General features: G+C 51.0%; 1 protein-coding gene across 3 annotated transcripts in view, besides 9 other annotated features; it reads right to left on the bottom strand.

Moving 5' to 3' along the window:
• The window catches only part of PIK3C2B (phosphatidylinositol-4-phosphate 3-kinase catalytic subunit type 2 beta), a 72,173-nt gene that overhangs the window by 24,617 nt on the left and 19,719 nt on the right, over window positions 1-27,837 (bottom strand). For all 3 annotated transcript variants that reach the window (NM_001377334.1, NM_001377335.1, NM_002646.4), the window contains 14 exons: window positions 21,621-22,637; window positions 17,970-18,070; window positions 17,201-17,355; window positions 16,763-16,883; window positions 13,301-13,412; window positions 13,075-13,154; window positions 12,629-12,692; window positions 10,479-10,625; window positions 9,788-9,821; window positions 8,607-8,802; window positions 7,420-7,542; window positions 2,601-2,768; window positions 1,936-2,047; window positions 187-329 (listed from right to left, as the gene is read on the bottom strand). In NM_001377334.1, coding sequence (NP_001364263.1) covers window positions 187-329; window positions 1,936-2,047; window positions 2,601-2,768; window positions 7,420-7,542; window positions 8,607-8,802; window positions 9,788-9,821; window positions 10,479-10,625; window positions 12,629-12,692; window positions 13,075-13,154; window positions 13,301-13,412; window positions 16,763-16,883; window positions 17,201-17,355; window positions 17,970-18,070; window positions 21,621-22,553 — 2,489 coding nt within the window. In that variant the 5' untranslated portion in view covers window positions 22,554-22,637. The remainder of the gene's footprint in view (window positions 1-186; window positions 330-1,935; window positions 2,048-2,600; window positions 2,769-7,419; window positions 7,543-8,606; window positions 8,803-9,787; window positions 9,822-10,478; window positions 10,626-12,628; window positions 12,693-13,074; window positions 13,155-13,300; window positions 13,413-16,762; window positions 16,884-17,200; window positions 17,356-17,969; window positions 18,071-21,620; window positions 22,638-27,837) is intronic.
• Window positions 2,200-2,724: an enhancer, noted in NCBI's record as "H3K4me1 hESC enhancer chr1:204418577-204419101 (GRCh37/hg19 assembly coordinates)". NCBI's record gives its function as "activates a minimal SCP1, AML or CMV promoter by ChIP-STARR-seq in naive H9 embryonic stem cells {active_cell/tissue: H9 hESC(naive)}" and the evidence as "EXISTENCE:reporter gene assay evidence [ECO:0000049][PMID:30033119]".
• Window positions 5,879-5,988: an enhancer, noted in NCBI's record as "active region_2365". NCBI's record gives its function as "activates an Ori minimal core promoter by ATAC-STARR-seq in GM12878 lymphoblastoid cells {active_cell/tissue: GM12878}" and the evidence as "EXISTENCE:reporter gene assay evidence [ECO:0000049][PMID:35858748]".
• Window positions 7,581-8,558: an enhancer, noted in NCBI's record as "VISTA enhancer hs1368". NCBI's record gives its function as "enhancer in: neural tube[6/10] | hindbrain (rhombencephalon)[6/10] | midbrain (mesencephalon)[6/10] | forebrain[6/10]" and the evidence as "EXISTENCE:transgenic organism evidence [ECO:0001131][PMID:17130149]".
• Window positions 9,938-10,138: a silencer, noted in NCBI's record as "peak665 fragment used in MPRA reporter construct". NCBI's record gives its function as "represses an SCP1 promoter by STARR-seq MPRAs in K562 erythroleukemia cells {active_cell/tissue: K562}" and the evidence as "EXISTENCE:reporter gene assay evidence [ECO:0000049][PMID:32103011]".
• Window positions 9,938-10,567: a biological region, named in NCBI's record as "H3K4me1 hESC enhancer GRCh37_chr1:204426443-204426944".
• Window positions 10,066-10,567: an enhancer, noted in NCBI's record as "H3K4me1 hESC enhancer chr1:204426443-204426944 (GRCh37/hg19 assembly coordinates)". NCBI's record gives its function as "activates a minimal SCP1, AML or CMV promoter by ChIP-STARR-seq in naive H9 embryonic stem cells {active_cell/tissue: H9 hESC(naive)}" and the evidence as "EXISTENCE:reporter gene assay evidence [ECO:0000049][PMID:30033119]".
• Window positions 10,568-11,067: an enhancer, noted in NCBI's record as "H3K4me1 hESC enhancer chr1:204426945-204427444 (GRCh37/hg19 assembly coordinates)". NCBI's record gives its function as "activates a minimal SCP1, AML or CMV promoter by ChIP-STARR-seq in naive H9 embryonic stem cells {active_cell/tissue: H9 hESC(naive)}" and the evidence as "EXISTENCE:reporter gene assay evidence [ECO:0000049][PMID:30033119]".
• Window positions 14,952-15,246: a silencer, noted in NCBI's record as "tiled region #12859; HepG2 Repressive non-DNase unmatched - State 16:ElonW". NCBI's record gives its function as "represses a minimal TATA promoter and a strong SV40 promoter by Sharpr-MPRA in HepG2 cells {active_cell/tissue: HepG2}" and the evidence as "EXISTENCE:reporter gene assay evidence [ECO:0000049][PMID:27701403]".
• Window positions 20,903-21,730: an enhancer, noted in NCBI's record as "H3K27ac hESC enhancer chr1:204437280-204438107 (GRCh37/hg19 assembly coordinates)". NCBI's record gives its function as "activates a minimal SCP1, AML or CMV promoter by ChIP-STARR-seq in naive H9 embryonic stem cells {active_cell/tissue: H9 hESC(naive)}" and the evidence as "EXISTENCE:reporter gene assay evidence [ECO:0000049][PMID:30033119]".

A 27,837-nucleotide genomic window follows, 5' to 3' on the forward strand; every position in this document is an offset into this window, starting at 1 on the left:
CTGACCTTGACCTCTCCACTTTTCCTAGTGTCAGCTGATGGAGAAAGGCCTGGGGGCTGCCTCCACTTCCTGCTGAGATGGCAATGCCCACCCCTTCCCACCTCCACTCCCAAAGCAGGAGGACGGAGACTCAGTGCTGGGAGGTCAGATGAAACATGACAGATTCAGTGGGGGCCCGGGTCTCACCAGTACAAGGACTCTTTCTGCATGATGTCTTTAAGCTTGCGCTGGTCTTCTTCCCGGAGGCTGCCAAACTCATAGCGGGGGCTGAACTTGTCTCCAGGGGGGCTGGTGAACTTGATGTCAAAGGCCGAGGTGGGGAAGTCAATCTGGGGGATGAGATCAGGGATGTGAGGAGAGAAAACAGGCAGCGTGTGTGGACTCCCAGCTTCTTTCTCTCACCCCAGCATTCCGGCCTTGTCCCTCCCTCACTTTCCCTCAGGTTCTTTGTAAAATAGCCCTGTTAGACTTGGTGATCTCTAAAGTCCTTTCCAGCTATAACTCTCAGCAAAAAATGAGAGGGAAACAAAAAGAGAAAAAGAATGGACATGTGAGGAAGAGGTTCGGTGGAGATGCACCTTGGTGAGGGGTGAGGGGACAAGCCCCAGCCAGAACTCTGAACAGAGGTGTCACCCAGCTGAAACACGGGGTGCATCCAGGCTGAGTCCGGGGTGACTTCCATGGGGTGCCAGAGGACACTGCTGCCAGAGGGGAGGCAAGACCACACACTGGGAGAAGGCCCTGGGACACTCGGTCCCTACTCTATGCCACCAGATGTTCATCCTACTAAAGTATCAGAGCTGAGTGAGCCAAGTCTCCAAAGGAGGTCTACTTTCTTTCATTCAAAAAACTTATTTATTTATTCATTTATTTATTTATTTTGAGACAGAGTCTTGCTCTGTCACCCAGGCTGGAGTGCAGGGGTGTGATCTCGGCTCAGTGCAACCTCTGCCTCCCCGGTTCAAGTGGTTCTCATGCCTCAGCTTCCTGAGTACCTGGGATTTACAGGCACCCGCCACCACACCCAGCTAATTTTTGTATTTCTAGTAGAGACAGGGTATCACCATGTTGGCCACTCCTGACCTCAAGTGATCCCCCTGCCTCAGCCTCCCAAAGTGCTGGGATTGCAGGCATGAGCCACCACACCCAGCCTCATTCAACAAATATCTATTGAATCCTAACATGTGCCAGGCATTTTCTAGAGTCTGGGCATAAAGCAGCAAATAAGACAGACAAAAATTAGCCGGGCGTGGTGGTGTGCGCCTGTAGTCTCATCTACTCGGGAGGCTGAAGTGGGAGGATGATTTGTGCCTGGGAGGCAGAGGTTGCAGTGAGCCAAGATTGTGCCATTGCATTCCAGCCTGGGTGACAGAGATCCTGTCTCAAAAAAAAAAAAAAAAAAACCTGCCTCAGGGAGCTTTCATTCTATGTCAACATTCATACTCCATACCAAAGTATCTCATAACCACAAGAAGGGGAAGCTGGGAACTGAGAAGTGCACCTTGGGCGTGACCAGCTCCTCCTCTTCTCCCTGGAGAATAGGTCCATCCTGCCAAAGCACTGAGTCACTGGCAGGGGCAAAGGTGTCCCCTCAGGCCCCAAGAGGACCCAGGTCAGGTTTGATCAGACTTAGACGTATGAAGATTCAATACAAGGGACTCAGAAGCTGAGCCCTGAATGCAGAGGGTCTCAGACCCCATCTTCAGGCTCCACGAAATCAATTTAACCTCCAGGAGATGGGAGATGGATACCCCAGAGCTCACCTCACAATCCACATCTAACCATATTCCCTCAGTTGCTTCAGTCACATCATCCTCCCATGCTTGAAGTTCTAGCACTCTCTCCTGCTGTCCCAGCCCAAATCTCCAGGAGAAAAATGTAGAGTTGACTGGAATGGTCTTGCTGGTGACTGGGAGGGAAGGGCTAAAGCCTCACCTGCAGGATGACACTGTCTGGCTGGTGGAAATTAGGTGCACTCCAACGGGCGCTGGGATTTTCCTGTGTTGCTGGCCACAAACCCAGAAGCTTCCGGCCACAGGTCAGGACCCTAAGAAGGAGGGAGAGTGGGAAGAGCTGCTAAAGTGGCTAAGCAGAGAATATTTCTACTGCTCCCCCAATCCAAAAATCTGCCTTTTCTGTTTGAAGCCATCATCCAACTCCCCTCTCATTCTCACCGTGGACCATAGCCTCTTCCTTCTCCCAAGTCCTGTAAAAGCTTACGCCCTCCAAGAGGACTTGTGAGCTAACCACACCCTGGTCTGGATGACCTGGTGGCAGGGATGCCTTCATGAGGTGGGGAGGCTGGGCTAGATGACCTCTAAGGTTCTTCCAATGACAAGACCAGATGATCTATTACCCAAGCATTGCTTTTCCATGTATCCTTAACATGGTCCTGTGCCACCAGAACCGCTCAGTGGCTCTTGGTTACATCAATAGTCCTGGTCACCAGTTCTGTGCTTGGGGATCCTCTGGACTTCACCAGTGAGCCCCACATGGCCAACTCTCCCAAGGCGCACTGGCCAGTGCAGCAGCCAGGCCCCTTTCTCTGTCCCCCTCCTCCCCTTCCAAGGCCAAGAAGCTGTACCCTGGGGCTCACATACTGCCTGAAGTTGAAGAGTGGGGTAGTGACCCAGCCCAGGGCTTCAGGCACCCGCCGCTGCTTATTGGCCTCTGAGGAGCTCCCCGGTGGGGGGATGGGCAGAGCATAGAGAGTGGCACACAGCAGTGTCTCCCGAGGCAGCCGGTTCACCTGCACTGGGAAGCAGATCCTATGGAGGACAGGAAGTCAAATTAGGAGGGGCCACTCCTGTGGCTTCAAGCAACAGGTGGCCCAGGAAGTCAGGCTGAGGCTGAGGCTGAGGATACAGCCTCCCTCTCAGGGTTCAGACATACTCCCTGAGGAAGCCCTCCTCCTGCAGAACCAGGAGAGGTCCCAAACTAGGCAAAACCCCCACTGGATGTTCCCAGAAGCACAATGTGGTGTCCTTGGAGCTTTGCAGTAGAGTGAGGCGAACATCCCGATTTTGAAGCTACCCGTGGTGCCTGGACAGAACTTGCTTAGCAGAGCCACCTCGGAGTTCAGGTGATGACACGTCCCATGTTGTCAGCCTTGCTCCTTTCCTTGTTTTAGGATTTCCGCAGAGGGTCCGCAAAGCTACTCCTTTTGTCCTCCTTTTCCATTTGACAGTCTCCATCCCTCCCCCACTTCTTGCTGCTGAGAGCCACCAGGAAGAAGCACCATGTTCTCTGCCCTCGGTTCACCCTCCCCCACAGCCCTCTCACTTGTCCTCATAGGAGTCCCCTTCACCTAGCCCCAGGGACACACACTGGGTTTTTCTCACCCCCACCCCCAAACAGCTTCAAAGCCAAAGGGACAAAGAGGAGGGGTTTCTCCAAGTACCCCAGTGGTGAGAAAGCCAATGGCAGGGCCAAGAGAACTGAGACACATAAGCCCCACCACTATTCAAGCCCATAAGTTCTCTCCAGGTCCCTCAGTCTGAATCACACCTAGCCACTCCCTCTAAGCTCAGGATAAGGAACTGCTGGGTGGGGTGAAGTACACAGGGGAGGGGAGCTGTGGAAAGGCAGGGAGGACCCACGTTACCTTTCGGGGAAGCTGTCCCTGGGCCAAAGTCCATACTGTCACACCCTCCTGGCCAGCCCAGGGCCCAGCAACTTCTATGCCAGAGGGCGCAGAGGCAGGGCGGCCACCCCCAAGGTTGGCAGTTTCATGATAAAGCAGCCTGCCTCCACCGCTGTCCTCCAGAGGAATCTCCACCTAAGTGAGGCACTCCCTCCAGCCCACCACAGACTGGCAGAGCCCTGCTCTGTCCCAGCTGCCTCTACCCTGGGGGCCCACAGCTATAATTAGGGCCCCTCCAGCAGCCAGCAGACATGCCAGGCCAGGGCTTGGCTGGAGGTGACAAAGCACGGCTGCTGAGCCTATTTTGAGAGTTAGCTGATCCCTGGACCGCTACAGTGGGGCAGAGAATCAGCTGACCCCATAGCAAAGGGGAGAGGGAGCTGGTCCTGAGCCCTTTCTTTTCACCCAAGGAAGAAGCTTCCAGCTTCGTGTCTTAAGGAAAAGGGGAGTGAGAAGACTTTATGAGTGAAACCAGAGCCAGCCAAGGCCCTCTTCCCTTCAGTCCTTGGGTATATCTGGTATTCCACAACCTCTCCCACAGATCTTCACCCAGGGCTGGTCAGGATAACCATTATGTTGGCTGCAGCCCTTACCTTCCTCCCTGAGAAGCCCCTCTCCTTCCTGCAGCCCATTCAACAACCTCATATCACACAGGCTGCCTCCTCCAGGAAGGATTCCTGGAATGTGCTGGTTGGCTCCAGTCCCGGTTCTGCCACTCACAATCCTGGGCAACTTAATTCCCATCTCTGTGCCTCAGTTTCTCATCAGGGAAAAGGGGAACATAGCTTCACTTGCATGATGTGTGTGCAGACTGTGTACTTTTTGCTATGTGATGCTGTGGTTACTGCACTGGCACTGGCTTATACAGATAGTATTTTCATGCGCACGTATCCCCATGTATCAGCCAGTCTGTCAGTCACTTGGAACAGAGAAACCAAAACCAAGAGGGCTCCCCAGCTAAGAAGCCTGTGCCAAGTACTTTATTTACAGTGTCCTAACTGCTCCTCAAACAATCCTGTAGGGTAGGCCCTATTATCGCTACCATTCTAGGTTGAAAGACCTGCCCCAGGCTGCAACTACAGTAGGAAGGAGAGAATGACTGGCCCAAAGACTGTCCTCTGAACGCTGGCACGCCTTCCCCCAAATGTCCTGGTCTTGACCATGAAGGGCCAAGAAGTCTCATTCGGGGCTTCTGGATGGACAGTGCAAGATAGTGCCCTTCACAAGGCGCTAGGCAGGGGACTGCCCCTTTAAAATTCAAGGTGGGGATCTCAGGGAACAAAATGAAACTCATGGGGCAGGCTGGGCTGCCTCTCTACCTCTGATACTGTATGAGTAAAGGGTTTAAGGCCAATTTTTTAAAGTTCCTCCTGGGCCAGAACACTGTGCAGCACCCTTTTTTTTTTTTTTTTTTTTTTTTTGAGACAGGGTCTCGCTCTGTTGCCGAGGCTGGATACTCACTGCAGCCTTGACCTCCCAGGCTCAAGTGATTCTCCCACCTCAGCCTCCTAAGTAGCTGGAACCACAGGTGTATGCCACCACACTTGGCTAATTTTTTGTATTTTTTGTAGAGATTGGGTCTCCCTTGTTGCCCAGGCTGGCACCCCTTCTCTTGACAGCAGCAGTAATTGTGACCAAAAAATCCCAAGGGAATGGTGGAACTCAAGGGCCATTTAATGCAGCTATCCTCTGCCTGCAAGGAGTTTCTCCTGTCCTGGCAGTTGTTTGCTTGAGGACCTTTAATGCACACCCCATGTCCTTTTTTTTTTTTTTTTTTTTTAAGATAGGGTCTCACTCTGTTGCCCAGGCTATAGTGCAGTGGTGTGATCATGGCTCACTGCAGCCTCGACCTCCCAGGCTCAAGTGACTCTCCCACCTCAGCCTCTTAAGTAGCTAGGACTACAGATGCACGCCACCACACTCAGCTCATTTAAAATAATTTTTTAGTAGAGATAAGGCCTCTTTGTGTTGCCCAGGCTGGTCTCAAATTCCTGATCTCAAGTGATTATCCCGCCTTGTCCTCCCAAAGTACGGTGAGACTACAGGTGTGAGCCATCGTGCCCAGCCATATACACCTTTATTGCTCTAAGAATTACCTAAGTGTGAAGGGCATGAGAAAGGGTCCATTTTCCCAGTTGTCCATCTGTAAAAGGACCCACCTCTTCCAGCATCTCCAGATTCTTCATCTACCTATTTTGCATCCTCGGCCTCCCCAGGACCCTCCTCAGTCTCTTTAATCTGTGCTACAAATACTTAGCTTGCAGTGCTGCTCTGCAAATGAGGACTCTAATATAGTCAGTGTGGGGAAGCAAAGCCGGGGGCAGCAAACAGGGGATTTTCTGACTGACTGGAAGGAAGGTAGAGCATAGCACAGATGAAGCACAGGGCAGGAAAACCCCTGCGGTGCCCCCATTCAAGCAAGGCACCCTCTCCTCCGTTTCCTTCCTGCTTTGCTTGGCTGACGCCTACCTTCCCGACACCAAATTATTGTTTACATGTGGTGATTAATATTACCTTGTGCTTTTGGTTTCATATTTATATTTATAACCCACCTATCTCATCTCGACGCCATAACTGCCTCTGAGTGAAACCAATGTCCCCATTTCTCAGTTTGAAAAAATGAGGCACAGAAAGAATAGAGAGAAAGTAGTATTCGAGACAGAGCTAGAAATAGAGGCTCACTCCTGGGAATCCAAGCTCAATATTCTTTCTCTAGACAACCCTCCCTTCTCTATATATAAAGGGAAAAGCACAGTCTCCTCTCCATAGTCTACAGGAACTGAGGGAAGAAGGGAGAGGATGAGAAGCCCTCCAACTAGTTAAACTCTTTAAGGGAGACAAGATCAAAAAATAAAGTATTATTAAAATTAACAACTAACATTTAATTTTTTTTTTTTTGAGACAGAATTTCGCTCTTGTTGCCCAGGCTGGAGTGCAATGGCACGATCTCAGCTCACTACAACCTCCACCTCCCGGGTTCAAGCGATTCTCCTGCCTCAGCCTCCCTAGTAGCTGGGATTACAGGCATGCGCCACCATGCCCGGCTATTTTGTATTTTTTTTAGTAGAGACGAGGTTTCTCCATGTTGGTCAGGCTGGTCTTGAACTCCCTGCCTCAGGTGATCCGCCCGCCTCGGCCTCCCAAAGCGCTGGGATTACAAGCGTAAGCCACCGCGCCTGGTCAACAACTAAAATTTATATGTTTTTTATGGTTTACAAAGAGCCTTTATAGATACTTCTCATTGGATCCTCATGACAACTTGAGAAGTGGTAATTATACTTGGCTCCTTTAAGAGTCAGGGAAGTGGAGGCCAGGCGTGGTGGCTCACGCCTGTAATCCCAGCACTCTGGGAGGCCGAGGCGGGCAGATCACGAGGTCAGGAGATCGAGACTATCCTAGCTAACACATGGAAACCCCATCTCTGCTAAAAATACAAAAAATTAGCTGGGCGTGGTGGCGGGCGCCTGTAGTCCCAGCTACTCGGGAGGCTGAGACAGAAGAATGGCGTGAACCCAGGAGGCAGAGCTTGCAGTGAGCCGAGATCGCACCACTGCACTCCAGCTTGGGCAACAAAGCGAGGCTGCCTCTCAAAAAAAAAAAAAAAAAAAGAGTCAGGGAAGTGGAGACTCAAGAGGTTGAATGACTTGTCCAGTTAGGGTTAACAAGGAGCCTGGTTTTATCATTAGTCCTGGACTAGTTATCTGGCCCCAGGGATATTTCAGAGGCTGAGCAGGTCTACAGTGGCCTGGGCACTGAAGCCTGGGGGAAGGGCTTACTGCTGGTCCCAGACGATGAGGTGGAAGAGGTACTTGGAGAAGTGAGCTCTTCGGGTCTGCAGGGGGCTGCACAGCTCCTTGCCGCCATGGCTGAGGGAGCAGGAGAGGTAGAAATCTTCATAGCTATAAAAGAAAGGGAGCAGGTCAGGACACCCAGCTCCCAAAACCAATCACCCAAACCTATGCGTCCCTCTAAGGCCAAAATCCATTTCCCCTGGTAAAACTCTCAGTCTCTGAGGGCTGTAACACAGGATCTCCGGATAGGACAGCCAAACTGGATGTAAGGAAATGTGCTCAGGCCAAAGCAACTCAATCTAGATTCCTCTGCTCGGTTTTAGGCTCCATTCTGAGCCTTGTTGTTTTTCTTCCTTTAATGGGAACTGGCCACCCAGCCTCTTTATAGAAAGCTCCAGCCCATGGAGCGTCTGTGTGTGCGTGCGTGTGTGCGCGTGCACGTGCATGCGCAAGTGAGAAGGGTGGGGGAGGAAGACGACATATGCCGACATGAATGCCAACACACGGGGGTCCCTGTGGCTCATGACAGGTGCCTGACAGAAGAGGTCAGAGAAGGCCCCGGTTTCCCAGGCTGCCTCCTTTGTTCTCTGCCAATCGCCCAGAGGAATACATTAAGTAAGGAACAAAGAGAGAAGGGGAAGGGGGTTGGGGAAAGGGGACCGGCAGGGGCGGGGTAGGGCCCAGTGCCTATTCCCTCAGGCCTTGGATGCTGGGGACCCAACAGAGGCGCTGAGGATTTTACCAAAAGAACATCCTCCTCCACCCACCCCTGCAGGCCTAGAGAACCCCAGACAAAGGGTCAATCCCACCTCCCCACCCCCTCCCACTGGCCAGGGAGCGTGCACTCTATCTGGGAATCGGCCATCTGTTGCCATGTCTCCTTCCACTGGTCTTGGATCTGGAGGGGGCAGGGATGCAGAGGCAGCCAGCACCAAGAGGGAATAACAGGATCTTCTTCATCTCCTAAGGGACCTCCTCTCTCCTCTAGGATGTCCCCAGCCCAAGTCCTCCTCAGGCACTTGGCTCACCCCCGCAGCCCCATTGCACCACAATGTCACACAATGCCACACATCCTAAGACTTAGGACAGTGGTATTACATGCAGATAGGAAAAAGCCCTGGTGGAGGTCAAACTCAGCTTGCTCCCTAGCGGCTACTCAGCCCTGGGCTCACCTGGTAGCCCAGATGATGGGGATGCGGTGGGTGGCATAGACAGTGAAGGCCAGGGACCTGGCGAAATGGCAGGCCTCCTGGACCAGGTCATGCTTGCGGCTCCCGGGCACTGCCGTCTGGAAGTCTGCGTTGAATGTGTTGCAGTACAGCTCCACCAGGTCCAAGATGGCAGCGGTCAGGGCTTCCACGACCTTCTCTGGGAAGGGAAGGGGTCAGAAGGGAAAGTCATGAGGCCTCCACAAGCCCTACCTTGTTGCCATGGCATTGGCTAGAATGGGATGGCCTAAGACAGTGGTCCCCAAATGCTAGTCAGTCTCTAATAGCTGTGACAAAGTTCACCCATCTGCGGTAAAATGAGAAAAAAGCAGAAGCATGTCATGAGCTTTTCATAAAATGACAGTTATACAATGTTAAACATAATCCTTATTTTTACGTATTGCTACTTAGCATTAAAATGTCCTTTCTTTTAGGAAACAGTGTTAATAATTATTGTCAGTTGCTTCAAAAAAGCAAAAGTCAAAAAAGTTTGGCCAAGTAAAAGGCTGCCAATTCTCTCTTGGTCCCCCAAATACTTTGGGGGACATTTTACTGGTCTATGAAATCCAAAAGACTGGGAATCACCATAAGAATCCCAGGGATGCCAAAACAAAAAACAAAACCAAAACAAAGGAATCCCAGGGATATAGGTCAGTCTTAGGGCAAAGTTCAGCTTGAAGGGCACAACAGGGGAATCCTAGAAAAATCGTAGGGAAAATTCTTTCTCATCCTCTCCCAAGGCCCACTCTAAATCGGAAAGGTAGCAAGTGTGAGCTGTTGGGAGAATAATCACAATCTACCCAAGTGGGAGGCTTCCCATCTGGATCACAGGGCTAGTGCTGCCCCACCACCCCACTCCCACACTTCTACCCCCTCATCATCATCTCCCAGGGACACCAGGAGGAATGACTAGGAAAAATAATAAGAAAACACTTTGTGGAAAGAAATGTGCTCTCCAGCTGTATCCACACCTCATATAGGAACACACACACACACACACACACACACACACACACCCACACACACACACACACCAGCCGAACTCCGACACATAAATCAAGGGGCCCAGGCAGAAAAAGGAATCGGGGCAGAGACTGCAGTTTTCGGCAGCCCGACTGGATGAAGATGGAGAGCAGTTCCCTTACCTCGGTTTTCCCTCACAGCCAAGACACTGGGATCCTGTTGGGAAAAAGAAGAGGGAGGGGAGCTTCAGGGCCATAGCCTTTTTCGTCACAGCTGGAAGAAGGGCTTTTCACAGCTGCGCTCATCTGGACCAGAATGGGCTGAAATGTGAGTAGCTGAGAATCCCCAGAGAGGAGAGAGTAATGGTTTGTACCAGATCTGTATGATGGACAGAGTGAGCTGACGGAGGATAGCAATCATCGGGTCCACCCTTCTGAGATATCCCAACCCTCAGGCTACTCGGCTGCAGATCACAGTGCCTATGGTGCTGGCCCTGTCTGCAGAGCACACAGCCCCTGCTGGAGTCCTGGAGCCCCTGGCTCTAGAGAGATTTTCCTCCTGGTTTGTTTTTGCACCCTGATGGATATGCAGACTGTCAGGCAATGCCTTGGTGACTGTGAATAAAGCCTTTACTGGCCTGGGCTCTCAACAAGCAGTCCCAGGTAGCTCTCCCTCAACCTCAGGAAGAGGAGACACACTTGGCATCCATTTCTGAAGAGCTCTTGCGGTTGAATTCCTTAAACATAAAAGATGGAGGTGGAGAGAAGCCCCTTTTTAGTGAGTGAACACCTACACACTCTAGCAACAGGCAACTCAGTTACCTGACAGTATCCCTCTCTTCCTTTCCCCTGCTAGCACCCTGGGCCCCTTTACCTTCTGAATTTTAGGCTGCATGCGGGAGGGGCAGGGGGGCAGCTGGTTGAGAGCACTGGTGATCTCAGGGGTTTCCACGGCGGCCAGGGCGTTGCAGATGGCCTTGACGGACTGGACCACCCTGTCAGCCTTCAGTGGGAAGTCTCCCTGTGGGAGGTGGCACAGTGAGGCTGGCAGGCTCTGCTCTCATGCTCTTGGTCTCCAACCCCTCCCCACCCCAGTCTTTAAAGGAAAGGGTTGGGAAGAGTAGAGAGATTCATGATCCTCAGGGGTAAATGTGCAATACATTTTATTTTCAAATATTCATCATCAGCAAATAATCTCTCCCACTGAATTCAATGGGCCATGCCCACATGCCCCAATTCTTTCAGCCGTTCCCCTTGAAGCTCCTCCTATCTCTAGCCTCTCTCTATAGTTAGTCTACTTATACTATACACATATATACAGGGTCTCTCCCAGAGACCTGTAGAATTTCCAGACAGATCTCATCTCATTTCTACAGACATGCCACAGCCATAACCTCCCCTCTGGAATTATGCTCCTGGAATTCCCTCACCTGTCCAGCTCTGATTACCTATGTACATTTAAATCACAGAGCAGCTAAAATTCTACCTCCTGCATAAAGCCCTCCCTGGCCAATCCCCTTCCTCTAGCATCCTCCAGGAGCCCTTAATTAATTTATTACCATCCTGTTCTGTCTACTAATAGCTTTGTGTTACTATTCAATTTTTCTAACAAGAACACAAGCTCCCCAAAGGCTATGACAATTTTTTTTTTTTTTTTTGAGACGGAGTCTTGCTCTGTCACCCAGGCTAGAGTGCAATGGCGCGATCTCGGCTCACTGCAACCTCTGCCTCCCGGGTTCAAGCAATTCTCTTGCTTCAGCCTCCTGAATAGCTGGGATTACAGGCGCCTGCAACCACACCCAGTTAATTTTTGTATTTTTAGTAGAGATGGGGCTTCACCATGTTGGCCAGGCTGGTCTCGAACTCCTGACCTCAGGTGACCCGCCCACCTCAGCCTCCCAAAGTGCTGGGATTACAGGCGTGAGCCACCGCACCTGGCCAAGGCTATGACGATTCTTACACTTCTCTACCCATCGTAGCCACTAGCAAAGGGCCAGAACAGCACAGCACAGGTGTTCAGAGAGCTTCCCCCGCATCACTGGAAATGTTCAAGCACAGGCTGCTGGAGAAGGGATTCTGGCAGTGACTAGACATAATGCTGAACCCCTCAAAAAGGAAGCGTTTATGACTACTATTAACTGGATCAATGAGACAGGGATTGGTTTTTGTTTTGTTTTTTGAGATAGGGTCTCACTCTGTCACGCAGGCTGGAGTGCAATGGTGTGATCATAGCTCACTACACAGCCCCAAACTCCTGGGCTCAAGCGATCCTCCCACCTCAGCCTCCAGAGTAGCTGGGGCTACAGGTGTGTGCCACCATACCTGGCTAACTTTTGTATTTTTTGTAGAGATGGGGTCTTGCTGTGTTGCCCAGGCTGGCCTTGAACTTTGGGGTTCAAGCAATTCTCCCACCTCAGTTTCCCAAAGGGTTAGGATTACAGGCGTGGGCCATCACACTCAGCAAGGGATTATTTTTGAAGATCACTGTCAGATTTTCTTTGGCGTTGTGACATTTAAGACAAATGTTGACTCTCATGGTTTTGAGGCTTGAGACTCCGCATGAATCCAAGTGGGGAGGGCTCTGGCCCTCCCTACATGTGAAACCTTCTACCTCCTGATGGTTTCCTACCTGCGATAACAGCAAAACAGAACCTCTCAAACTGGAGGTTTCTGACATTGCTCATAGGATGCATGCTCCAGTGTACATCAAGTGCAGCAGCTGGGGGGTGACAGCTCTAGGTTCCTTAGCTCTGGAGACATCCTATTCCAGAGAATGGGACCAGCATGCAGTTTCCGACCTGCTTCTTCTATAGAGGAGCAGAATCCCTGACTACGCACTTGCCGTTGCCCAACATCTAGTAGTCTTAGTTTGCCCATGAGCGAGGGGTTAAAAAGAAGTGCTCTGCCAACAGATTTTCAGGCTCCACCCAGACCCCTCATAGTGCTGGGTGATCCCAGGAGGACTGAGGAAGGGGAGAGGAGGAGCTTTCGGGCAGCAGGGCCAGCCCCTGGATTCGTACTCACATCAGCCAGCAGGAAGGCATCCACCTCATTGTGGTAAGTGTCGAACAGAAGACTCAGGGCCTGCCTGGGAGTTGGGGGCAGGGAAAAACCACAGGAGAGGTCATGAAAGACCCAGTGCCCTGGGAAACCCATTTTCTCCCTCCCTCTCCTCAGCTCACACTCTGATTTAAAGGAGTTCCCACTCTTTCTATATGTCCTGTGAAGACATATAGAGGGAGAGTCTTTCTATTCTGCCACTTCTCGCCTGGAGAGAATGATGGCAAAGTTCCAGAGGGAAGAAATGAAACATGCCTGGAGTGGGGATCTTCTCTGATAAGATGTGTGGGCCCCAACCCCTGACACCTGCAAGAATCCCTTAGCCCTGACAGAAAGGCAAGCAGGCACATCTGATGGGATCCCTGCACAGTTCTTGTTTGGAGCACATCCAAGATGGTGCCCACACTCACCTGCTGATGGTCTGCTTGACAGGCCTCTCTTGGAGATGGACGAGGTAGTTCAAGGTGGAGGGGCTCTGGTCATCATTCACCTGTATAAGAAGTGACCTATTCAGAGAGGGGCGGTGCCCTTATCTCAGCTCAGCACTCCTACCCCCCTCCCACCTGATGTGTTCTATATTGTATTCCCATTCCACCTCCCCAGCCCTGGGCAACCCTCCACCACCCTCACACGAACCGTCCGGGCCAGGTCACTGCGCACAACCTTCTGCTCCATCAGCTGTAGCCGAATGTCAATGTCAAACTTGCGGCAGTATTGGATGTACTCATGACTGCCCAAGGCATGCTTGCTGGTAGGGTAGAGGGACAAGACCATTAGCATCCTGGGGACTCAGTGGCAAGGGAGATACATACCTTAGCCTTGGGGAGAGACATACAGAAAGAAGGTTTAGGTAAGGGGGTAGTACCCGTGTTGTACCCTACTTTGGCTCCTAGAAAATGACACGGTAGAGCTTAGGAGAAGGAACAGAGGTCTATCTAAACAAAAGCCACCTAATATACTTAATCCTTGGCCGGTATAAATATTGACTCTCTTAGATATTTATTACCCGTGTGGTAATCACTGGTTCACTCCAGGGCTGGGAACTGTTGGAGAGAGCGGGGAAACAGAGGCACATCACAGGGAGCAGTTGCTGAAGCCCTATCTTCTGGGCCTCTGTATAGGGGACAACCAGGAAGAGACATGTTGGAGTCCACCTGTGCTCAGGCTCCAGGGTGGGAGCTCAGCGAGAGACCCCTCTTCCAATGCTACCAACTAGGGTGCTGAGGCCAAAAAAACTTGGGGCAAGCCTACCAAGCCTCCAGATCAGTGTCCCCACCCAACTTCTTTTTCTGCCTTCCATCTGTTGGCCCTGCCTGCTTGTGAATAACCTTACAAATTTCTATGACTTCTTGAAAAGTCCCAAATGCATGCCAGTCCCACCTGCTCAAGCACCCATGTGTGAGACTCCCCCTTTCAGAGAGAAGGCCTAGGAGCCCTCGGCGATCCAACCTCTTCCTCTCTCCCAAATCACACCTTCAACAGCAAGGAAACCCAAGAGGAGGGGCAGAGGGAGAACTACCTCCAGGCCAGCACTGCAGGCCTGGGCCTGGCCTCAGCAGCTGGGTAACAGAAGCCGGAAAAGGACTTCCTTCCTCAGCAGAGCTGGGAATCTAGGCCAGAAATGGAGAGGAGAGGACAGGAGCATAAGGGGGGCAGTATATGTAAAAGCTGGCGGAGGTGCAGGGCCCAGGGTCGTCTAGGTCCCATGAGGGCTCGAGTGAGGGGTTCTCCACATCCTGAGAGGACCAAATCTCCGATCTAGACCCTCTCAGATCTAAGACTGAAGTGCAGCCAAAACCTGGAGGTGGTGAGGCTGGGCTGTGGGGCTGGGCCTGGTGGGAGAGCCTGGGAGGAAGGAAGAGTGTGGTGGGGCTGGGGGAGGTGGCAGGAAACCCAACCCTCCCACGGGACTGCCTCAAGGTTCTTATCTGAGAGCAGCCTGCATCCTGAACCCACTCACCCCCTCAGTATCAGCCCCTCCTGCCAGGCAGGGGTAGAAAATCTCAGGGCTTCCTTGGGAACTAGCAGATTTCTGGAACCCCCGGAGCGTCCTTTCCACCCCCATCCCAGGCAGTTGTCATGTGTTGGGGGTCTGGGGGCTGGGCCAGGAGACAGCATTGTGCTTTTCTGTTGGGTGGGAGTGGGGCTCCTAGGCCAGGAGTCATGCACACAGGTCCCCTGGGGACTTGCTTGATCTTCTCTGTGGAAGGCCTTCCTCTCTGTGCATTCAAGTGAGAGTATGAGGGGTGTGATCTGAGGACCGCTGACCCTGTCCCACCTCACTAAGAATATTTCACCTGAGTCTTAGCAGGAAGGTAGAACTTGACAGCTCCCACTACCTCCGGACCCAGGGGCTCCAGGATTTGGGGTGCTGCAAGGGAAATGGCAGTATCTGTGCAGCCCAGAGCCCTAGGACTTCTCTCCGTGGGCTGCTCCTTCCCTGCTGGTATTTACTGATTGCTCACAGGTCATTCTCACATTTCACCCTCACTGCAGCTTACAGAGGGCCCTGAGCATCAATCAGCCTTCACAACTAGTAAGTGGCAAGTCCGAATTCAAACCTGTGTAATGGCGTCAGCAGGAGCTCCAACTTATCCACTATGTCCCCTTTTTCCCTTCTAACAGTGGCAGGCCACCTGGCACTCTCTCTGCCAGGCAACCCTGAGTCTAGGACCCCTCCTGTTCCTCTAGGGGAAAAGTGTGTACATAAGTGAGTTTAAAGGTGGGGCACATTTGAAGGGTACCCTGGAGTTGTACCATACAGAACCCTGCCTCTTTCCTTTCCCTTAGCTTCGAGATGAGGAGGCAGAGGCCAGAAAGGACCCCACAATATCCTTAAATTTGAAATAAGCCCAGATAGCTGGGCACAGTGGCTCACACCTGTAATCCCAGCACTTTGGGAGGCCAAGGCGGGCAGATCACCCGAGGTCAGGAGTTCGAGACCAGCCTGGCCAACATGGTGAAACCCAGTCTCTATTAAAAAATACAAAAATTAGCCGGGCGTGGTGGTGCTTATGCCTGTAATCCCAGCTACTCAGGAGGCTGAGGCATGAGAATCGCTTGAGCCTGGGAGACGGAGGTTGCAGTGAGCTGAGTGAGATGGCGCCACAGCACTCCAGCCTGCACGACAGAGTGAGACTCTGTCTCAAAAAAAGAAAGAAGTCCAGAAATGAATCTTCCATCCTGACTGCCAAATCTTATGCTCTAGACATAGATCAACCATCCTTGCATCTAGACCTGAATGTAAGAGAGAGAAAAAGCAAGCAGTGGCACTTATAGGGCACTCCTAAGAAGTGAGACACAGGTCTCTCCTTTCTCTATTCCCAAAACGTGCTTCCTCCAAGTGGACAGAGACTGGGGGCAGGAGCGGCTCTGAAGCCTAAGAGAGGAAAGCAGATCTTATCTGTCTGCTGTCACACAGCTGTACCATCTGAGAAGTGATAACCTTGCCCCTGCCTCTCTTCCACTGCAGCCCTCCAGAGCCCAGGGTAGTGGAAAGGGGGTTGCCTCAGCTGGTCCACATCAGACTTTCCAGGGAGGCTGCTTTCCAGAGAGGGCACTGGATGGAGAGGAGCTGGAGGCACGCCTTTGGGAGGAGGATAACTAGCTGCACGGGCCAGCTGGGGAAAAGACTTGTTGGCAGGAGAATGGGGAGAGACAGTAATTGTAATTTCTCCCCTGGGCTCCACAAGGGAACTTCTGCCCAGTCCTCATTTTGCCCCAGCCATAAAAACACCACACATAATCTAGAGCAGGAGATACAGCACTACCCATATAGTCTCCCCAAGCCCACCCCTCCCCACAAATACACACATCTCTCCATAAGCAGAATCTGCAAGCAGATATGACCTAGTCTTTGCCTAATCCCAGCTCCAAGCTCTTTCCACAGCAGACTTGGCTCAGGACGTCAGCCAACCCTGCTGGAAGACAGAGCTCCTGGGGAAAGTGCTACGTGGCCGAGAGTGTGCCCAGAAAGCAGGAGTCTTGACTGTGGGATTGGGGCGGAGCTGCCAGGCCGGTCCCAGCACCAATCCCATGAAGCCCCCTCACAATCTTACTACCAGGAAGGCAGGGGCTACCTCCCACCCATTCACTCACTTCTGCAGGAACTCCTCCAGCCCGCAGGGCTTTAGCACAAAGTCACCCACGTCCACATTCCTCAGGTCATCATGGGTGTAGCACAGGGTCTGGTAGATAAGCAAGTCTACAGTGGAGGAACCTGTGAAGGGTAAGGTAGGGGGAGCAATCATGATGGATGTCAAGGCAGATGGGTCTCAGTTTCCCCACCCTGATCCCCCTTTCCAGCTAAGTATTCTCCAGCACCATCACCAACCAGATAAAGCAGGCAAGTAGTTCAGAGTTGAGGAAAGTGACTGTACTAGAATGCTGGCCCCATAGCCAGCCCCTCACCCCCAAAGGAGCATCCTCACTGCCCTTCATCTGGGCCACAAGATGAGGTGGAAATCGAGTCAAAACACAGTCATCCCCACCCCACTTCAAGGGATGCTCACATCCTCTCCCCCCTCACTAACTTACAGTTGCAGGTGAAAGTGAGTGCCTCTTGAAGCCTGTCACACAACACAGTCACCTTCAGGTTGACCTCATCCCCGAGGTGCTCTGGGCTAGGGGTGACAGCACTCCAGACATAGCCAGTGAGGAAGTAGTCTTGGATGTCAGAGCCAGATCGAAGGCTGTACAGGAAGAAAAAAAACCCTCACTGTGCCTTTAGAAGAGAGTAGTCAAGAAGACATCTGTTGGGAACCTCATGCTCTGAGGCTCAAGAGCCCCTCTGTCCCCACTCAGCCCAGCCCTCCAAATTTGCAGGCCAGGATGGGGGCAGTGGGGTAGCAGCTCTGAGAAACCCCCTTCTTGACACTTCTCTTATAATTGCAAAATGTTTCCCACCATTGAACAGTACAAATAGTTCTAAAATGACAAAGCTTTCCATGCTAAGTTTAATGGAAAATTTTTTATGAATCCATTTCCTTTCTCTTTTAGTTCCAGATAACACTCTTATCGCCAGCTGGGGTGCATTTGCTCTTAAGGGCAACTGAGGGTCAGACTCTAGAGTGATCAGGATACTTTGACCATTCAATGGAGGTTTCATGAATTTTGCTAAAAATGTGAGACTTCTAAGATTTCAAAAACCCTGCAGACACTTGTTGTAGGAAGCATTTTCATAGCTATGAACTGAGATTTACTTATTATGGTGCTTCTTCCCTCCTAAAGAAAGTTTGGAAATGGATGGCCCCCCTCCCCATCCCCCATAGCCCTCCCAAATCCCACCCCATTCTTTAACTCTTACATATCCAGCATGTGGCAAAATGCAGCAACCTCCTCATCTCTCTCTTCTGAGACCTCAAACAACTCATGGCCATTGGCAACAGTGTGGGGCCGGGAGCCCACCTTTAAGAGAAGAGCAGACGACTCAGTGCCTTTTTCCTCGTGGTGTCCCCTCCCTATGAGGTACTCCAGACCTAAACTCAAACTCTAGATGAAAAGACTTTCTAGTCACTCGACATCCAATGAAAGGGGCACAAGAACATATGGGACATCCGGGAATACATGTATCTGCTGTCCTAGGAGACCAGGAGCCAAGTTGAAGAAGGAGGCGAAGCTCTGGCTGAGATGGACAAGAGTGTGGCCAAAGCCACTTCAGGAGGGGACAGTCTGATAAGCGTGAGGCAGCCAGTAAGGCAATCCAGTGCTGTTGGGCCTCTCCTGCAACACGGGCTTTCCGGGGGATTCTCCCAGAGGCGTGACAGGGAGCAGAGCAGACAGCTGTTTTTCCCAGCCCCTCTACTGAGGCTAGAGCAGGTGGGCGGCCCAAATGGTGCCCAGGGAAGCTTGGCCCTGGTCTAAAGCCTCAATATCCACAAGCCCCATGGACCCAAAGCAGAGAGAGACCCAGAACCCTTAGATAGAGGAGATGACTCAGACACATGTGCCTTCTGGGTAAATGCTATTTGAGGAAGAAAGCGTCAAAGCAGTGGTCTGGGCAGGGGAGGACCTGGTAGAAGCTTGGCTCCTCTGGCTTCCGAGTCAGCCGGCTCTGAACGGCCGGAATGTCAGGGAGCCTGCCTTGGCCCCACTTCCTCTCTCAAAATACGTGTGTGGTGGTAGGATTCTCAGACAAGGTCCCAAACGGTCTCCCATCCCAGAGCTGCTTTCAGTCACCCAGGAGGGTTCCTAAAGAAGCCCCTAGCAAGGCCTGTAGCCCAGCCCTAGGGAGAAGGAAGTGAGGGGGAGGGAGAGCTGGTGCATGACAGGTTTCTGCCTGAGGGGTCTGCTCAGGGCAGCCTGGGAGGCCACACCAGGGACGAGGCTTCAGCTCAGATGGAGATAAGGCCGGCATGTGGTTCCAACAGCTGTTTCTGGCGGGAGTCTAGCTCCGGCCTGTGCACATAGCAACGCCTCACATCTCTCACCCAACCTCTTGGCTACTCTCAAGTCCTCTCTGCCTCTTGGGGCAGATGACAGCAACTGAGCTCCTCATTTGAATATCCAGACTGTTTCCTCTGGTTGACCCTCTCTTGTTAGGCTTGCTCCCCTGGGTGTGCATGGGCGGCGGGGGGTGGGGGTGCACAGAGGGGAGGGCAGCAGTGGGGACAGTTGGCATGTGAGGCCCTGGCTCTGCCAAGTTCGTGCCTGTGTCCCAGTCAAAACAATAGCACCACTGTCAGCAATTAACCCACAAGAGAAAGGAGAGAGAGAGGAAGAAAAAGAGAAAGAGAGAGAGACAGTGGGGGGAGGGAAGAGAAGGCAAGAGAGGGAGAGAACAGAGTGGTCACTGAAGGCCACTCTCATGTCCTTTCTGTACCACTCACTGGCACCATAAGAAAACAAAAGCCACTTACGTTTGCCCAGCTGGCAGGCCCTGGTGGCATCACCCGATGCTGGCTGGGGGAGTCTGCCGGGCAGAGGCTGGCAGCAGGGGTATCAGGCTGGCATTTGGAGCCAGCCAGTTCCAGAGCTGGCTCCGCTGGCCTGGGATAAGGAGGTTCCCTCTGGCTGGAAGCCCGACGAAAGCGGGGCGGTGGTATAGGCCGAGGGCCCAAGGGGTCCCCCCTCCCAGCAGGCTGAGCCCCTGCAACAAGCTGAGCCGGGGAGGACCAAGGCCGCATTTCCCCACTCAGAACTGGCAAGAGCTTTTTGCTTTGTGTCCGCTTCTTCAAGGAGATTCTGGGCTGAGCTCTGTCTCAGAACTCTGATGACATGCAGGGGATGGGGAAGGGTGAGGGAGTAGGGGAGGCAGGAGAGAGAAGGAGTGACAGAGGTGACCACCTACCAGGGTGCCCTGACTCAGTGAGCAGGCCCAGCTGGGTGTGAGGAACTCAGAGCTGGGAACAGGAATCTCCCAGTCCCTATAAATAGCGGGAACAGCCCCACCTCTCAGAGCAGGGCCTTTAAAAATCCCTGAGCTCTAGGGATGTGGCTTATCCCAGGAGCTGATTCTGCTTTTGGGGGGACTCTCTTAGGAGAAGCGGAGGAAGGAAGAACTGTGTAGCTCTTCAGAGTTGGGAAGGTTCCCAAAGGCTAGACACAAGGTGGGAAAACCCCAGTGCCCCTTAAACAATGGCTAAGGAGGAAACCAGGACAGAATGAAGTAGAATGCTAAGCTGTCACAGAAGGCATCAGCAGCCAGGGGCATTGGCTTACACCTGTAATCCCAGAACTTTGGGAGGCCAAAGTGGACAGATCACCTGAGGTCAGGAGTTCAAGACCAGCCTGGCCAATGTGGTGAAACCCCGTCTCTACTAAAAATACAAAAATTAGCTGGGCATGGTGGCAGGTGCCTGTAATCCCAGCTACTTGGGAGGCTGAGGCAGGAGAATCTCTTGAACCCGGGAGGCAGAGGCTGCAGTGAGCCAAGATAGCGCCACTGCACTAAAGCCTGGTGACAGAGTGAGACTCTGTCTCAAAAAAAAAAAAAAAAAGAAGGCATCAGCCATGGGGGTGTCACTTGTCTCTTGACTCCTTGCAGCCAGGGTTTCCAGGGACCAAGGATGAAACACAAATAGGCCTTCTGGTCCTACCCAGGAGATGCTGCTGAAGCTCCCCTAAACCAGAAAAAAGATCAGAGCTGCCCTGGCACCTGCCTGGGGGCTTTGACCTAGATAGTTCGCTATTTTACACTATGTACTGATAAAAATAAAACTATTTGTCATACTGCATATTTTTTCTAAATATTTTCATTGTGAGAAGAGAATGAGTAGAGATGAATAATGCAAGGGTTGCACGACAATGTGAATGTCGTCAGTGCCACTGACTGCACACTTCCAAATGGTTACGGTGGCGAATTTTACGTTACGTATATTTTATCACAATAAAGAACAGAGCAGGGAGAGAGAGAGAGAGAAAGGGAGAAGGAGAGGAGGAGACAGAAGGCTTAGGAACGAGAGAGGCCAGGGCTGAATGCTGGCCCTGCTATTGCTTGCTGTGTGGCTTTGGACTATCAGGAAGGGTTGTTGTGGAGATCTGGACCAGGGTCTGGCATTCAGTGGGCACTAAACAAGTGGTTACTATTGTGAATGATCTTCATCGCCACGCAGCGTTTTTGGCAGAGCAGGGCCTCAGAGCAAGCGGAAGCAACTTGCTCCGGTCCAGAGGGCCATTCAGCCAGTCAATAATGAATCCCATAACTCCCAATTCAGTCCTTACATCAGGAAGCAGGCACACGCTAGGAACCAGGATTCCCAAATGCCTGCCCCAGAAGGCCCGTTTTGGCCAAGATACATGAAACCTGGCCCTGAGAAGGAGCCCTCCCTCTACTGGTGTCCACCCCTAATCAAGCCTCCCCTGGACCTCCCCCACCAGGGCCAGGGTCCCAAAGAGGGTAGGAGAGGCCTAAAGGGGTAAGGACTTGGCAGAGTTGGATGTAGAACAGCAGAGACTAGTCCCTGTTTCTGAAGGACATGGAGAAAGGAAGGCAGAAGAAACACAAGAAGGTCCTCACCGGGGCTGCAGAAATCCGGCGGTTCTTGCCAGGCGTCGCATTCTTTCGGTTGCCATAGCGGGAGGCATAGGTGCGGGGGGGCACCTGAGGGGGCATAGTCTTGCTCCTGGCCACGGGTTTTCCAGAGGTGTCTTTGCTGAAGTCCAGCGGCCCTCGGCCCTCCTTCCAGCCCCTGGTGGCATCCCGCAACATCTCCGCATCATAGGTCGATTTCAAGTTGAGCCTAGTAATTGCATCATTGATACCATCATAGTCCACAGACCCCAGTAGGCGCCCCTGACCCCCACCTCCCAGCACCTCTTCCTCTTCTAGGATCCGATGCTCTAGCAGTTTGCCCGGCAATTGTTCGACCAAAGAGAAAGTGTTGATGTCACTGGGCTGGGAGATCTTGGAGGATGAGGGGGACCCCTTTCTGGGAGGCAGGGGAGGGGTATCCCAGATAGAAGCTCGGGGAGGCAGAGGAGGTGGGGATAGTTTCTTGCAAGAGCCCTCTATGTCCCCTGGTCCTGGGGACGAAGAGACTCCCCCATCTGAACCATCAAAAATGTAGAGATAGTCTCCAGACAGGGAGCCTTTGGGCCAGGGATCTGAGCCAGGCTGTGGCCCTTGGGAGGTAGAGTGGTTGGGCGGCCCTTCCTGTGGGGAGAGTGAGTTGTAGTTAAGGGTAGGATCAGAGCCAGAGAGACCGCGTAACAGCTTGAGGTCGGTCCGCCTTCCTGCTGGCTTGCTGTAAAAGTCTACCCCAGGCTCATCCCAGCTGATGAGAGAGGGGTCTGCGTTCTGCTTGGCTCTGTTCTCCTCCTTGTCATGCCGGAGCCGGGACAGGGCATCATACTCCATCTGCAGGGCTTCGGCCATCGCTAGCTCTTTGCGGCTGATGCCCACTGACTCCAGGGACTTCCAGTGTTCCCCATTGCCCTGAGTCGAAGACATGGTGAGGATGGGGGACACAGGCAACAAAGTCTCTACTTCCTGCCAACGTCAGTTCTGGAGGGTTGTGACATGGTGTCTGGGCGCCTGCAGGTGAGGGGTAAAAATATCAATCAGTCACAAAGAGAGATTTACTAATCATCCATAATAATCCAATTTAGGTGATATTATCTGGGCCAGTGCCTGCTTCTTCGTTGTGTACAACTAATGGAATGTACAGGAAGATGGAGGAAAAAAGGGATACCAAGACAACTTTACCTATTTATTATATCCAACTATCCATCCATTCATCTCTACATGCCTCATCTCTGCGCCCTAATCCCTATACTCACCTCTGTCATTTGTGCCCCAAAAAGAGAGAGAGGCACCTTTTTTTTTTTTTTTTTGAGATGGAGTCTCGCTGTGTCACCCAGGCTGGAATGCAATGGTGCGATCTCGGCTCACTGCAACCTCCACCTCCCAGGTTCAAGTGATTCTCCTGCCTCAGCCTCCCTAGTAGCTGGGATTACAGGCGCCCACCACTGCGCCCGGCTAATTTTTGTATTTTTAGTAGAGACAGGGTTTTGTCATGTTGGCCAGGCTGGTTTCGAACTCTTGACCTCAGGTGATCCACCCGCCTAGGCCTCCCAAAGTGTTGGGATTACAGGCGTGAGCTACCACGCCCAGCCAAGAGGCACCTTCTATTAGCCAAGAAGAAGAGATGGAAGCAAAGCTTCTCCAGTCAATTTGAAGAGGACAGCTCTCATACACTACTGGTGGGGAATGTAAAATGGTACAACCACTTTGGAAAACAGGCAGGTTCTTAAAAAGGTCAACATACACCTAACACAGGATTCAACTATCACTCCTACTTATCCAAGGAAAATAAAAGCATATGTCTACACAAAGACTTGTTCATGAATATCCACAGCAGCTTTATTTGTAATATCCCAAAATGTCCATCAACAGTGAATGGATTTTTAAAAATGTGATGTCTATACAATTGAATACTACTTGGCAATAAAAAGGAATGAATTATTGACAAATGCAATAACAAGGCTAATCTTAAAATAGCTTTGCTGAGTAAAAGATGCCAGACAAAACAGTATGAGTACATATGATTCCATTTATATAAAATTCTGGAAAATGCAAACTGATCTATAATGACAGAAAGCAGATCAGCGGTATCTGGGGGACAGAGTGGAAAGAGGGGTGGATTACAACGGGACACAAGGGAACCTTTGGAGGTGATGAATATGTTCATTATCTCGATTGTGGTCATGGCTTCACTGGTATTCTCACATGATGGCTTCATTGGTATTCTCACATGATGGCTTCACTGGTATTCTCACATGATGGCTTCACTGGTATTCTCACATGATGGCTTCACTGGTATTCTCACATGATGGCTTCACTGGTATTCTCACATGATGGCTTCACTGGTATTCTCACATGATGGCTTCACTGGTATTCTCACATGATGGCTTCACTGGTATTCTCACATGATGGCTTCACTGGTATTCTCACATGATGGCTTCACTGGTATTCTCACATGATGGCTTCACTGGTATTCTCACATGATGGCTTCACTGGTATTCTCACATGATGGCTTCACTGGTATTCTCACATGATGGCTTCACTGGTATTCTCACATGATGGCTTCACTGGTATTCTCACATGATGGCTTCACTGGTATTCTCACATGATGGCTTCACTGGTATTCTCACATGATGGCTTCACTGGTATTCTCACATGATGGCTTCACTGGTATTCTCACATGATGGCTTCACTGGTATTCTCACATGATGGCTTCACTGGTATTCTCACATGATGGCTTCACTGGTATTCTCACATGATGGCTTCACTGGTATTCTCACATGATGGCTTCACTGGTATTCTCACATGATGGCTTCACTGGTATTCTCACATGATGGCTTCACTGGTATTCTCACATGTCAAAACTTATCAAATTACACACTTTCAATCTGTATATTTTATTATATGTCAATTACACCTCAATAAAACTATAAATGAAAAGTACAAGAGAACCCTGTGAAACGGACCTTGTAATTACTCAGCTTGCACTAGGATCCTCCCAAAATACACCAATATATAAAATAAAACAAAGCTTGCCAACAGGTGAGACCCGGCTACCTGATGTCTTACAGGTGTGCCAAAATATTGATTTTTTTTTTTCCCCCAGCCCTCAGGAAGCCACACTGGATCTCCAGGCCAGTGCTTCCACTTACTTCAGCGGTGGTATCCTTTTCTCTAGAAGCCATGACGTGAACAGAGTTGAGAAGCATTCAACAAATGGTGGTAACGACAAGGTCAGTCTGGCCCAGTGGTTCTCAACCCCAGCTGCAACATTAGCAACACTGGGGGAACTTTTTTTTTTTTTTTGAGACGGAGTCTCACTCTGTCGCCCAGGCTGGAGTGCAGTGGCAGGATCTCGGCTCACTGCAAGCTCCACCTCCCAGGTTCATGCCATTCTCCTGCCTCAGCCTCCCGAGTAGCTGGGACTACAGGCACCCGCCACCACACCCGGCTAATTTGTTGTATTTTTAGTAGAGATGGGGTTTCACCGTGTTAGCCAGGATGGTCTTGATCTCCTGACCTCGTGATCCACCCAGCTCGGCCTCCCAAAGTTCTGGGATTACAGGCGTGAGCCACCGCACCCGGCCCGACTGGGGGAAGTTTTAAAAAGTACCGAAGCCCGGCCGGATACGGTGGCTCACGCCTATAATCCCAGCACTTTGGGAGGCTGAGGTGGACGGATCACCTGAGGTCAGGAGTTCGAGACCAGCCTGGCTAACATGGTGAAACCTCGTTTCTACTAAAAATACAAAAAATTAGCCAGGCGTGGTGGCACACGTCTATAATCCCAGCTACTCAGGAGGCTGAGGCAGGAGAATCACTTGAACCCGGGAGGCGGAGGTTGCAGTGAGCTGAGAGTGCATCATTTCACTCCAGCTTGGGCAACAAGACCAAAACTCTGTCTAAAAAAAACAAAGTACTGAAGCCTGAATACTCTCAAGAGATTCTGATTTAATTGCTCTGTGGTAGGGTAATGGTATTTTTTAAAAACTCCCCAGGAGATTCTAATGTGTAGCCCAACCTCAGAACTGTGGATCTATGAATGTGTGTTTGTGATTAGGTTGGGGGAGACCAGTGTGAAGTAGTCACTTCTGACTCTTAGCATCAGCAGCCAAGAGGTTGACAGTTTCATAAAAATTATCAGAAAATGTTCATTCTATTGTACTGCTTCACCCAACAGGTAACAAACATGAAATTACACCTCATGATTAGAATGTTGAAAACATCAATAGGAAAAAGGCTCAGATAGACTCTTGGGTGGCAAGTTGCTTAGATTCAAAATAAGTTAGGACAAAGGTATCCCTTACCCTGGGGTGCCCTCCCAGGACCCTGGTACATCTGTCAGGTATAGGCACAGGACCCTGGTCTGAAGGGTTCTGGCTCAGTGAATCTGACAACTATTGCACTTAGGAATTAGTTCACCAAGGACAGACCGGCCCAAGCCCAGCCTCAGAGTATCTAAAGCAGTTCACTGTTAACTTAATTTCTCTGCCTTTCCACAGCTCCTTACAGATCACTTTTTATCCACAGTGGGTATGAGGGAGTCTTGCTATTTGAAATTCAAAGGAGTAGCATAAGCAGATGGAGATATCCAGAACCTAGCTGCCTGGAGCTGGGAGACTAGTCCCAGGAAAAGGAGGGCCTAGTGCCTTATAGATAGGAGATACCAGATAAATGCTCAAAGTTGGATTGGGCTTAAGTATGTTAATCCAGAGAATGACTGTGTATTTTCAGCGCTGAGCTAGGACAAGCAGAGTATTAAGATTTGCCTTAGCAGGCACTATTGTGAGAAGGAAAATTCAGGCCATTGGAAATAATCTTTTTCAACTTCAAGCCTCTCTTCCAACACCCACTTATGCATACTTGCACTCAGCTTCACTTTCTTCCTTTTGGCCCAGGGGAAGCAGATTCCTGCCTCCTGCTGAGGCACAATCCTCTTCTGCTCTTGCCCCATCCACTTCATCTCTAGGATAATGCTCCATGGATTTCCCTTCCCTCTCCTGTATCTTCAATCTCTTCTCCTTAACATGGTTTTTCTCTTCAGCACATAAACATGCTTCACCTAATCTTAACAAGAAAGGAAAAACTCCGAACCCTAAACACCTCCCCTTGACTTTTTTTTTTTTTTTTTTTGAGATGGAGTTTCGCTCTTGCTGCCCAAGCTGGAGTGCAATGGCGCGATCTCGGCTCACCGCAAGCTCCGCCTCCCGGGTTCAAGCGATTCTCCTGCCTCAGCCTCCCGAGTAGTTGGGATTGCAGGCATGCGCCACCACGCGCAGCTAATTTTGTATTTTTAGTAGAGACAGAGTTTCATCATGTTGGTCAGGCTAGTCGCGAACTCCCGACCTCAGGTGATCCGCCCGCCTCGGCCCCCCAAAGTGCTGGGATTACAGGCGTGAGCCACCGTGCCCGGCTCCCCTTGACTTTTTGTCCTCTCTGTTCATCCTTCCATTCTCAGCCAAGCTTCCAGAGAATGGACTACACCTGATGTTTCCAAATTCTCCCTTCCCATTTACTCTTTAACTCATTGTAATCTGGTGTCTGCCCCCCACATCCCACTAAAACTGCTCCAGCAACAATGCCTGGGCTGCCCATTTCCGTAGCCATTTCCACCTGCCTGGACATTGCTGCTGTATTTGGCTCTCCAAACCATTCCCTTCTTCCTTAAACCCTCTCCCGCTGGCTTTCATGAAGATATTTTTTTCTTGTTCTCCATCTCCTCCTTCTTTGTCTTCCTCTTCCTTTGTCCACCCCTGAAATGTTGGTGTTGGCTCAGGATTCTATTCTCAGCTTACTGTTAACTCTACCCCCTCTGCTTGGGCAATCTCATCTATTCTTGTTTCCTATCCATACTACTCACATGTTGATGATTCCAAATATGTATCTCTCCTTCAAGTTTACATGCCCACTCATATCTCAAAATCCAAATGTCCAAAACTCAACTATCATCTTCTTTCCTCCCCACAATCTGCTCCTTGCTCCTGGTTCCCCATTGTGGTGAATGGCACCACCCAGTCCCCCAAGCTAAAAATCCTGCAGTCATCCTAGAGTCCCCCTTCCTTTCACCCCTCTCTCTAATTGCCAAGGCCTGCCACCTTTTCCTCCTTAATACTTCCCAAAGCTAATCTTTCCTTCTATCCTAACTGTGGTTGCCCTAATTCAAGCCCTTATCTTCTCTCATTTGGGCTATTACAATGGCCTCCTAATAGTC

Source organism: Homo sapiens, chromosome 1 (assembly GCF_000001405.40).
Source record: "Homo sapiens chromosome 1, GRCh38.p14 Primary Assembly".
Taxonomy (NCBI): Eukaryota; Metazoa; Chordata; class Mammalia; order Primates; family Hominidae; genus Homo; species Homo sapiens.